The 12,531-nt window shown below is 38.1% G+C and overlaps 1 protein-coding gene across 3 annotated transcripts in view; it reads left to right on the forward strand.

The window, feature by feature from the left end:
* Window positions 1-12,531, forward strand: part of E2F5 (E2F transcription factor 5) — a 37,365-nt gene that overhangs the window by 24,068 nt on the left and 766 nt on the right. For 2 of the 3 annotated variants that reach the window (NM_001951.4, NM_001083589.2), the window contains exons 2-7: window positions 926-1,035; window positions 1,873-2,034; window positions 4,956-4,999; window positions 6,204-6,268; window positions 7,921-8,188; window positions 10,936-10,983. In NM_001951.4, coding sequence (NP_001942.2) covers window positions 926-1,035; window positions 1,873-2,034; window positions 4,956-4,999; window positions 6,204-6,268; window positions 7,921-8,188; window positions 10,936-10,983 — 697 coding nt within the window. The remainder of the gene's footprint in view (window positions 1-925; window positions 1,036-1,872; window positions 2,035-4,955; window positions 5,000-6,203; window positions 6,269-7,920; window positions 8,189-10,935; window positions 10,984-12,531) is intronic. The other variant, NM_001083588.2, reaches the window with a different exon arrangement.

A 12,531-nucleotide genomic window follows, 5' to 3' on the forward strand; every position in this document is an offset into this window, starting at 1 on the left:
AGCTGGGAGAGCTGTTAGCAATTATGTGAAGCTAAATCCTGTTCATTTAGATATTTTAGATAATGTGCTGAAAATTGTCAGTAGAGACACAAATATTTGTAACTACCATGGATCTTAAAATGTGGCTCCACATTCAAAATAGGCTATTGTCTAATCCACTCTGAAAACTTCTTTGAGGTTCTCTTTGTTCTTTTGGGAACACACATCAAAAATGTGAATTGGAACTAATCAGAGGAATTGTTTGTTGAATTCATAACATGATAGCATATATTGTTTTGTTGATCTTATCTAATGTGAATGCAGCTACCAAGTTTTTGTATAATAGTTGCTAGTGCAATCTTGAGCTATTGATTCTGATTTCTTGCTGATTTTATGCTTTGTGTTAGGATGGCATGATTCATTCCTCTGTTTTCGTTATTAATTTAAAAATGTAGATATTTATTTCAAGGTATTATAAGTGTGCATATAGTTCAGAATTTCCAAGTGTCTTAATTACCAAAATAAATTGCTGAGATGTAATTCTTTAAAATTTTAAAAAATAAGTAATGCATCTTTAGATGAGACTGTTTATGAACAGAGAAATAAGATAGGAGGTGACATGGATAGGCAATTAGTAGCTCCTCCTCAGGATTAGTCCATAAGGTGACACAAAGTATTCTTATTGTGTTCTTTTATTTTTGCAGGCTTTGTGTCATGACCTTAATTTCTTTTTCTGTTCCAACATCTGCTAGCTTTTAAATGGAATAATTTCTTTGGTATTTGCAGTGTTTGGGAGATGCTTTGAACATGCTCAGCTATTGTCCCCAAGCAACTGAGTGGGTCAAATTTGAGATTGGACTTGTTGTGGATTTAATAATCAACCCTTTTTGGCTTTAAAATATGACTTGCCCTTTATTTCACTGTTCTCGTTGTCTTTCCTGAACAGGCTGCTGATACTTTGGCTGTGAGGCAAAAAAGGAGAATTTATGATATCACCAATGTCTTAGAGGGAATTGACTTGATTGAAAAAAAGTCAAAAAACAGTATCCAGTGGAAGTAAGTTACAAACCAGCACCCTCTTCTGAAACCTTTTTTCTTCTCAGTGCTCTGTAAAATTTGACCTTCCCAATGTTTCTATCTCCCAAATCCTCTATTTCAGTCAGGCCCCTCAGCTTTCCCTGAACACACCTTTCTGGGCCTCTGTGTCACTCCTGTGTTGGGTGTTCCCTTGCTCTCTTGGATATTGGGTTTTCGCTCTTAAAATTCAAATCTTACTTTCTCCCTCAAGCTATTACTCATTTGGCACACATTGCATACTGTCTTGTATTAATCTCTTCCTAACTCTTTACCTGTCCTTGAGAGCAAGAACTACTTTCATAGGAATTTGTACTTTGTAAATAGTAATTAATTGAAACGCATGTTGTCATTAATTGTGGCCTGGTTATACGTTTGAATGTAACAATTTCTGTTCTTCTAATGTGTCCCCTTTGACCATAGTTTTTGTCTTGTTTTGTTTTCGCCAAAATTCCACCAAAACATTAAAATGTTGTAATTTATTTTACCAGCACCTCAGTCACATCCTGAGACTGCTAGGTGTGACTGCTGAGCACACTCTTTTGGTACCCAGTCACCAACCAGTCTGGCCTTCCAGATGACAAAAAAACACTGTAGGGAAGATTGAGAATTTTTGTAATTTGGTTGTTCTTGTCAATAAATTTTCTAAGCAAGAAGTATGGTGTTTAAAATTTTTAAGGATTTTAGTGCTTGATTTTAAGAGTGTAAAGACTTCTGTCTTGAATATATTACTAAATAAGTCAGTTTTATTACAGTAAAAATTAAGTGATATTAACCTAGATCTGATACTGAGGATATTAATTCTCATATGTTTTTAAGAGGTGTAGGTGCTGGCTGTAATACTAAAGAAGTCATAGATAGATTAAGATATCTTAAAGCTGAAATTGAAGATCTAGAACTGAAGGAAAGAGAACTTGATCAGCAGAAGTTGTGGCTACAGCAAAGCATCAAAAATGTGATGGACGATTCCATTAATAATAGATATCCTTTTAAATAAGTTATGCATATACATATAGCTTTGGAATATGTATGTATAAATCATTTCAGTCTAAAGATCATTCACTTTGTTTTTAGACAGTTAAGTTTTATAAGTAAATATGACATTTTAATTTTATTATATTCTTATATACTAATATTTTCTAAATGTTACCTTTTTAAGTTATATAGTACAGATCCGTTAGCGTTATTCCTGTGTTGCACTGAGGGGGAAAAAGAGATTAGCCAACTTTTGGTCTACCAATTGATAGAATGCAGTATGCTAGCCAGTGTGCTTAGGAAATCTGTGAATATTAGAAGCCATTGTTAAGTACATTTGTATTTTTAAATAATTATGTTCAGTGTTCTGAAGTATAAAATTCAGCAGCTCTCAAAGTTTTGAAAATTTTTCGTTTAAAGATGAGATATGATGTGTCCACAATCAATCCTTGATACTTTCTGCCTAACATGAACCCCAAAATAGTTCCTACTGGAGAACAGGGGTCTAAGTCGTGTGTGCCTATCAACAATATATATTGGGGGAAAAACATTATTATATATAATACATATAATATCATATATAATATATAAAATATATTTATATATAATATATAAAAACATTATTATATATATAAAAACACATATCCATGTGTTTCTTACAAACCACCGTCTTCTCTCAGGTATCTGTGATTCTCTTAGTTTATGAACTTACCTGTACTCTTAAAGAAACTAACCACATTTTACCTTGTAGCACCTCATGAAATTTTGACTAATGTATACAATATAATTTACTTTTCACATTTTCATGTATTTGGTGAACAAGTCCATGATCTCATTTGTTATTTCCTTTGTATGGATCAGAGCCCCTTAACAGTTTGAGAACAATGGGAGTTTTCAAGCTGTGTTCTGTGGAGCTCTGAAATTCAAAAGCCATTAATCTATTTTATCTTGGACTTCGCTGCCCTGCTTTACGAGATGCTGGCCATTCCCATTGCCCCAACCATGGTTATGTGTGATATATATAAAGTTTTCTGTATATTATGGTATTTTGACATCTCCATAAACCTTTCTGGCTGAGGAGAGACTGCCCATCCTGGGACTAGCCACTTCTTAGAAACAGCATGGGCTCATGTCCTTTTTAGGGTCATGGATGACGCTGGAAACCATCATTCTCAGCAAACTATCGCAAGGACAAAAAAACCAAACACCTCATGTTCTCACTCATAGGTGGGAATTGAACAATGAGAACACATGGACACAGGAAGGGGAACATCACACACCAGGGACTGTTGTGGGGTGGGGGGAGGGGGGAGGGAGAGCATTATGAGATATACCTAATGCTAAATGACGAGTTATTGGGTGCAGCACGCCAACATGGCACATGTATACATATGTAACAAACCTGCACGTTGTGCACATGTACCCTAAAACTTAAAGTATAATAATAATAAAATTAAAAAAAAAGAAACAGCATGGGCTCAGCCAGGAGCATCCCTTTGATATATAAACTAACCAGTCAAGGTCCAGACCTCCTCTCTCCAGTCCATACACCCCAGGTGGCAATATTCCTCTGCCTTAATCATCCCAGGGTCAGGTACCAGACAACTGGGGGACTACCTGCATAGCTTAGAGCCCACCAAAATTATCCAAACTAGGCCAAATGCAGTGGCTCACGCCTGTAATCCCAGCACTTTGGGAAGCCAAGGTTGGCGGATCACCTGAGGTCAGGAGTTTGAGACCAGCCTGGCCAACAGGGTGAAACCCTGTCCGTACTAAAAGTACAAAAACTAGCTGGGCATGGCAATGTGCATCTGTAATCCCAGCTACCAGGGAGGCCATAGGAGAATTGCTTGAACCCAGGAGGCAGAAGCTGCAGTGAGCCAAGATCACACTACTGCACTTCAGCTTGGGCGATAGAGCAAACTCCGTCTCAAAATAAAACAAAACAAAATTATCCAGACTAGCTAATCGTAGTGTTCTCCCCACCCTGCTTTTTTTTTTTTCCTGAGATGGAGTCGCTCTGTTGCCCAGGCTGGAGTGCAGTGATGCGATCTTGGCTCACTGCAACCTCCACCCCCCGGGTTTAAGCAATTCTTCTGCCTCAGCCTCCAGAGTAGCTGTGATTACAGGTGCTCACCACCATGCCCTGCTAAGTTTTGTATTTTAGTAGAGATGGGTTTCACCATCTCTAGACTAGACTTCTTTTTTTATCTGTCCATGTGTGGCAGCCCCTCTGTGCATATGGTCAGGCTGGTCTTGAACTCCTGACCTCAAGTGATCCACCTGCCTCGGCCTCCCAAAGTGCTGGGTGGCGTGAGCCACCATGCCCAGCCACCCTGCATTTCTTTTCCCAAGGAAACCCCAATAAAAGCTCTGGGCTAATGCTTTCCCCTTGCTCCTGTCTTCTGCCTCCTGACCACCTTGTTGTCTTAACCATGTGGCCCTGAGTAGCCTGCCTTGCCTCCCGTCACTAGGACCTATGAGTATAATACTTTGTTTTTCTGAGCCTTTCTTTAATCCTCTGTGTCCTCTTGTGGCCATACCTGACCATTTAATACAAGAACAAAAAACAACGATCACAGAAAATTCCTGATGTGGAAGCTGATATGGTTGCTGATGGCCTCCTTTTCCCCATCCATTCCCTTCCCCCAGAAACCTTTGCCTCCATGAAGAATGTGCACTGCTTTCCATCTCTCTCCTAAGGGTCCTCAAATGTCACAAAAATCAGAATGGCTTCTTCTAAGAGCAAAGGATGGGAACTCCTTTGTCTTTACCTTTCTAGACTAGACTTCTTTTTTTGTCTGTCCATGTGTGGCAGTCCCTCTGTGCATATGGTCATTTAGTTATTTTGACCTTCAGATGTATTACCTTAATTTAAATGCCTACGGCTTGATATAAATGTCGTTCCTTAACTCCTATGACAGTACATTTTCCTATGTAACTCATGAAGACATCTGTAATTGCTTTAATGGTAAGTACCATTAGACTTTTCCTTGCATTCTTCCTCTCAACCTATTTAGTGGAGGGTGATTCAGAATTCCCTGTGTCCTCATCCTGTCATTATTTTCAGAAGTTGTGGGCATTGTGTCTCACTCCACCATGCCGTGTATTGATAGACTGCTTTTGTTTCTGTTTTCATGAGAATAGCTGCTTTTCACAGCATTCAGTTCATTAGCTCCACTGGTAGGGATCAACTGTGTGTGGAAGGGGAAGGGGACAGGGACAGAGGGCAAGCTAAATCAGAGCGGGATTAAGCAACTTTCATTGTCACACAGTCACAGAGTTAGTGACCAAACTTGAACTAGAACATGGTTCTCATCAGCATTGTTTATCAAACTATATGCAAGTATGCTGGTCTCAAATGAAACTCAAAGAAACCATAAGGAAAGAATTAGGTGAATCCATCTTATAACCAGGAAACCTATTCCTATGCAATTTGCTGCCCCTGTGTTTTCTCCTTAAAATAACAATATCATGTTAATAATTATAATTATTAATATAACTAAAATGGGGGGACGTGTGTTCCCAAAATTATAGCACAAGTAAAATGAAATTGTGCATATTTAAATTTATGTGTATTATCCACCTATTTAAAAAGATTCTGCCAAGTACCTCATCAAGTGGAATCTGACTTTCTATGTAAGACTATGTTGGAAATAAGTATAGGACTATTGTTCTATTTTACCACTGTATTTCCTGAGTTTTTTAAGGAAGTTTGCTGAGACTTCTGTTAATCTGCAACTCAACAGAGATTTGTTGTAGAATTTGGCTTCAAAAATAATAAAATCATTTAAGCTCAACATTTCAGTGTCTCATACCTAATCTCCACTATCCTCAGTCCAATGAACAGTGTTATTTGAGGCTAAATGGTCTTAAGAATCTCAGACTTTACAGGAGTCTTAGTCAAAGCAAAATCAACTTGAGCTGAATTTGTTAATGAGAATCATACAGCTAACCCATGTATAATACTAATACATGTATTATCTTATTTAATCCTCAAAATAAATCTATGCAGTAGGTTGTGTATCCCCCATTTTATAGAATTGAAAATCAAAGCTCAAGGTCACCTAGTTTGGGATTGAACCAAACACTCTGATTCCAGAGCCCACATTCTTGCCACTGTATTCCATGATCAACAGTATTTTATGTAACTTTTTATATTTATTTTTGACCAGGTGATACACTTTTGGCCATTCAGGCACCTTCTGGTACACAACTGGAGGTACCCATTCCAGAAATGGTATGTAGGATAACTTATGTTTATATAAGTGGGAAAAATGAATCTACTGTCTCAAGAAGGATATTTTCTTTAGCTGAATGTGAGCTAATTGTGTAAACACTGTGAGTTAGTCAAGTTTTTATCTAAAAGTATTGATAGCTGAATTTGTATGTCTTTAATTCCTTGGTAAAATTATAGAACTAAATGAATCATAAATGATTTTAAAGATTATTGGCTATATCCTTAGTCATTTATTGATATCATTTAGCTCAAAGTCAATTTTTAAAAAGTAATCAGAATGCTTTATCAAGTGATTTTTGTTTCATACAAAAATTAAAACTATTGTATAAAATTATCTTCAGGCTATGTGAATAAGGTGTGTATGAAACAAATGAATATTGTGTTTAGACTTGGGTCCTATCCCTAAGATATCTATCCCCAAGTAACCAAATGATTTAAAATGATTTAACATTTTGATTAAATTATTTTAAATTTGAATTTTTTAAGTTAGAGGATGTCAAGAAATGACTAATCATATGGCCAATAATCTATAAAAATAAGTTAAAATGACCACATTGGGCTGGGTGCAGTGGCTCATGCCTGTAATCTCAGCACTTTGGGAGGCCAAGGCAGGTGGATCACTTGAGGTCAGGAGTTTAAGACCAGCCTGACCAACATGGTGAAACCCCATCTCTACTAAAAATACAAAATTAGCCGGGCATGGTGGTGCATGCCTGTAATCCCAGCTACTTGGGAGGCTGAGGCAGCAGAATTGCTTCAACCTAGGAGGCAGTGGTTGCAGTGAGCCGAAATCGCGCCATTGCACTCCAGCCTGGGCAACAAGAGTGAAACTCTGTATCAAAACAACAACAACAACAACACATCTACAATTGATATAAAAATTGCCACTGAGGAAAAAGTTCAATGTACATATCAACAATCAATTCCTTTAAATTAGGTCTTTTATAAAACATTGTCTGGCTTATTAAGTCAAAGACATTTATTGACTCTATGAGTTTCATGATTTTCGTTTTCAGATTCAGATTTTTAAAAACAAACTAATTTGAAAGCAATAACCAAAAAAGGGAGTAGAAAAAGATTACTATATTATCTACCTCCTTCCCCCACCCGCTTATTAAAAAAGTTTACATTTAGGCATTTGTATTACTGGAGTCTGAAGCCTCAGGATACAGATTACTTTTTCAGCTGGAAGAATGTTATATTTATTTCTCAGTAGGAGAAATTAGTTGTCTTTGTGCTTGCAGATGGGAAAAAAAAGAGTTTGATTTGTGAAGCATGTTGAACTGACCAGATCTGTGGTGGCCAACTCCAGGGGATAAATTTCCTGTATATGGAGAATACCTGGAGCATTGCTGGGCCCTGACCTATTATATAGTCACACACGGTAACAACAGATGGTTGCCAGAATTCTACAACAGAGAGTTTCTAATGATCAGTATTTGTGAAAAGCTTACTTTTTAGAAACTAGTGGTTTAGAGCCCTCAAAATTACATTCTACTCTATGTCTCTACTTTTGTGTTTTGACTTAATGACTTTATTGTGTTATGTGAATTTAGTAAGTCCCTAATAGCTTTGCCTGTCTTATTGTACTGTCTTAAGTTAGCTAGAAATGTTAATAATTATACATTTGTTTATACCCAATAACTTCAAAGGGTCAGAATGGACAAAAGAAATACCAGATCAATCTAAAGAGTCATTCAGGACCTATCCATGTGCTGCTTATAAATAAAGAGTCGAGTTCATCTAAGCCCGTGGTTTTTCCTGTTCCCCCACCTGATGACCTCACACAGCCTTCCTCCCAGTCCTTGACTCCAGTGACTCCACAGAAATCCAGCATGGCAACTCAAAATCTGCCTGAGCAACATGTCTCTGAAAGAAGCCAGGCTCTGCAGCAGACATCAGCTACAGATATATCTTCAGGTGGGTTCAGAGCCTTTCTTTTGTAAATTAGAGAGGGAGAAATATAAAAACAGGTTGGCTCTCTTATCCAAAGTGCTTGTGACCAGAAATGTCCCAAGCACTTTTGACATTTTGGAATATTTGCATATACATAATAACATATCTTGGGGATAGGACCCAAGTCTAAACACAGTATTCATTTGTTTCATACACACCTTATTCACATAGCCTGAATATAATTTTATACAATAGTTTTAATTTTTGCATGAAACAAAATATTGACTGTGGCTTGACTGCAGCCTATCACAAGGTCAGGTGTGGAATTTTCCATTTGTGGCATATGTAGATTTCAGCTTTTACCTGAAGTTTACTTGGTAAGGTTCTTTTATCTCTCTTAGTAAGTCTAGGATAAATTAGTGAAATATGTTCCAACTACCTTTAAGAAAATATGTTCCAACTATCTTTAAGTATGGACCATAGTGACTTATGCCTCTTGTTTCTCCATATTCTTTGTTATACTTTTTATTTGGGAAGCTTAGTTTTATAGAAGTGATAAATGGTCTCAACTCCAATTATGTAGGAAATCTTACTTTCCTCATTTGTTTCATTTATGAAATTTTAAAAAGCTAAAACATTTCACACTGGGTATCAGGAGTAGAGAGCACAACTCTTAATTTGGCAGTACCTTACTGATTCCAAATAAAGGGAGCATGGTAGGCAATCTCTCAGTGACTACTGAATGAATGAATGAATGAATGGTGCCAATATAGACATCATATTGCAGATAATTTAAAACTATATTGTATATAATCCAAATTGTTTATTTTACCTCTAGGATGTGTCTCATTGCTAAAATGGGATTTCACAGGTTAAAAGTGACGCTAACAAGATATAACTGGACATGGAATGTTTTTTAGCTTCTTTTTGCCCACATCTATTCCTTTCTTTCCCCTATAAATATGTCTATACTACAGACCATTAGGATGCACAATAGAAAAGGTAGTGCTGGCTGGGCGTGGTGGCTCACAACTGTAATCCCAGCACTTAGGGAAGCCAAGGCAGGCAGATTACCTGAGGTCAGGGGTTCGAGACCAGTCTTGCCAACATATAGTGAAGCCCTGTCTCTACTAAAAAATACAAAAATTAGCTGGGTGTGGCGGCGCACACCTGTAGTCCCAGCTACTTGGAAAGCTGAGGCAGGAGAATTGCTTGAACCCAGGAGTTGGAGGTTGCAGTGAGCCGAGATCGCACCACTCCAGTCTGGGCGACAGAGTAAGACTCCATCTTAAAAAAAAAAAAAAAGAAAATGTAGTCCTTAAAAAGCTTACAATCTAATTAGGATATAAAGCAGGCAAGCTTTACATGGGTTTTACCTGGGTTAGCTTAGACATAATTAACACACTGGCTTCAACAAAGTGTTTTTAAAAAGTGAGTATTCTGTTTTTATGGTTTCATGTTTGGAAATCCTAACTAAGGAAAGTAATTTTGGGCTACATTAGAGCAGGCCTTGAATTTCAGAGTAGTTAGGACATTTATCCAATAAACCAGTGAAGATCTGTGACCAAGGAAATAGCATAATTAGCTATAATGGTGCACACAGGAGTAATATGATTAGGAAAGATGCTTTTGGCCCTGGGAAGCAGAATTCAGAAGCGATGGAAACTGTAGATGTTTGCAGTTATGCAACTGAGAGAACATTAGGGCTAAAACAAGGGCCAAGTGTGGTGGGGCTCATGCCTGTAATCCCAACACTTTGGGAGGCCGAGGCAGGTACACTGCTTGAGCCCAGGAATTTGAGACCAACCTGGGCAATACAGTGAGACCCTATCTCTAAAAAAAAAAAAAAAAAAAAAAATTAAAAATTAGCTAGGCATTGTGACGTGTGCCTGTGGTCCCAGCTACTGGGGAGGGAGGCCAAAGTGGGAGGATTGCAAGCCTGGGAGGTCAAGGCTGCAGTGAGCCCTGACAGCACTTAATGTACTCCAGCCTGAGTGACAGAGCGAGATCCTGTCTCAAAATAAATAAATAAATAAAAAGGCTAAAACAGTGATTACAGTGAGATCAGGAAGAGAAATAACGAACAGATTTGAGAAACACTGTAGGCAAAATAACATTTGATGTGTGAGATCTGGAGATAAAGTTAACAGGAATGGAAAGTGATGTTGAAGTTTTAAGGTTGAATAACTGGGAGAATTATGAAACTACTGACTAAAACTGAGTCAGTTTTGGTAGAATGATGATGAGGTTTGTTGTTGTTTTTTTTTTTTTTTTTTTTTTTTTTTTGGCAGGGTCTCACTTTGTCAGCCAGGCTGGAATGCAGTGGCGCGATCTCAGCTCACTGCAGCCTCAAGTGATCCTCCCACCTCAGTCTCCCAAGTAGTTGGGACTATAGGCACGTGCCATGAATGTCTGGCTAATTTTTTTGTATTTTTTGTAAAGACGGATTTCACTATGTTGCCCAGGCTGGTCTGAACTCCTGAGCTCAAGCAATCCGTCCACCTCACTCAGCCTCCCAAAGTGCTAGAATTATAAGCATGAGCCACCATGCCTGGCAGATAATGAGTCTTTTGGTCTTCGTCTGGAGTTTGGAAGTTTAAAAGTAATGCCAGGCACAGAGTAAGCGCTCATGAAAACAACCTGTCCACAAAGTACTAGTACTTTAAATAAATGTGCATGTCAGTCAAGCTGCTGCTGTGACTACTTGTGTTTAAATATGAGTATCTTTTACTGTTAACAGAAATATAACAAAACTTTATTACTGTTTCCAGCAGGATCTATTAGTGGAGATATCATTGATGAGTTAATGTCTTCTGACGGTAAGTAGGTTAAAATTTTACTAACTCACTTATCAGTAATGCTTCTGTGGAATTTATAAGTGAAACATGATTTAAAAGAAATGAACATATATTTGCTACCTGCTTTACTATGAAGATTCATGAAAATTCTCCCTTAACACTTACAGTAAGTAATAGGCAACCTTCAGAATTTATTTTTCTTTGCTTGCATTTTGAGGGAAAGGAATCCATATGGGGATACTTCTCACCTTCATTGAAAATAAACTGTTAGCCCTTTCCACTCCTGAAGGATCTGGTCCAAGAAGAGTAAAATAACTTGTCTAAATCAAGCAACTGATCTGAACACCTGCCTTTGTAAATACCCCTACCCAGGCCAATTTCAAGCTGCCAATGGGAAGTCACTGAATTAGTATTAATATTAACCATGTTGTCATCTAACCTGAAAAATTATTAAATATCAGTTAGCTACAATATGCTAATTACTTTAATAATTTCTCTCCTTCTGTAAGTTCTTGGATCAGAGTCCTACTACCTAACAAATAAAGTAGAAACCTACGAAGTGGTAGCAGTTAAGTTAGCAAATGTTATAGTAACTAGAGATGTACTAAACATGTATGTAGAAGCAGAGAACATCAGCAAACTTTGTAAGTCCAGTTCATTCTTCTGTTTGCAAAGTGGAAAACAAAACACTTTCATTAGTGTTCTGTTTTTTTTTTTTAAGGCAGAGTCTCCCTCTGTCATCCAGGCTGGAGTGTCATCCAGGCTGGAGTGCAGTGGCATGATAGCTCACTGCAACCTCCACCTCCTAGGTTCAAATGATTCTCCTGGCTCAGCCTCCCGAGTAGCTGGGATGACAGGCACCTGCCACCACACCTGGCTACTTTTTGTATTTTTAGTAGAGACGGGGTTTCACCATGTTGGCCAGGCTGGTCTCAAACTCCTGGCCTCAGGTGATCCACCTGCCTCAGCCTCCCAAAGTGTTGGGATTACAGGCATGAGCCACTGCACCTGGCCTCGTTAGTGCCTTTTAGTTATATTACCTTAGTGATAAGTTCAACCAATAAAAAATTTAATTTCTAGGCCGGGCACAATGGCTCATGCCTGTAATCCCAGCACTTTGGGAGGCCAAGGCGGGCGAATCACGTCAGGAGATCGAGACCATCCTGGCTAACATGGTGAAACCCCATCTCTATAAAAAAATAAAAAAAATGAGCCGGTCGTGGTGGCAGGCACCTGTAGTCCCAGCTACTCGGGAGGCTGAGGCAGGAGAATGGCGTGAACCCGGGAGTCGGGAGCTTGCAGTGGGCCGAGATCGAGCTACTGCACTCCAGCCTGGACGAAACAGGGAGACTCCATCTTAAAAAAAAAAAAAAAAAAAGAAAAAATTAACTTCTGTTTCTCAATCTAATATCAATATTCAATGTACAAATTGTTACTAAATGAGAATATTTCAAAATACACATTACACAAGACTTTAATTTGGAATGATGTATTTGAGAGTATTTTGTTAAAGATCATTAACCGTATGTAGAAACCATCTTTAACACTAAATTTGTTTTTTGTTCGCAG

This window comes from Homo sapiens, chromosome 8, assembly GCF_000001405.40.
Source record: "Homo sapiens chromosome 8, GRCh38.p14 Primary Assembly".
NCBI classification, from domain to species: Eukaryota; Metazoa; Chordata; class Mammalia; order Primates; family Hominidae; genus Homo; species Homo sapiens.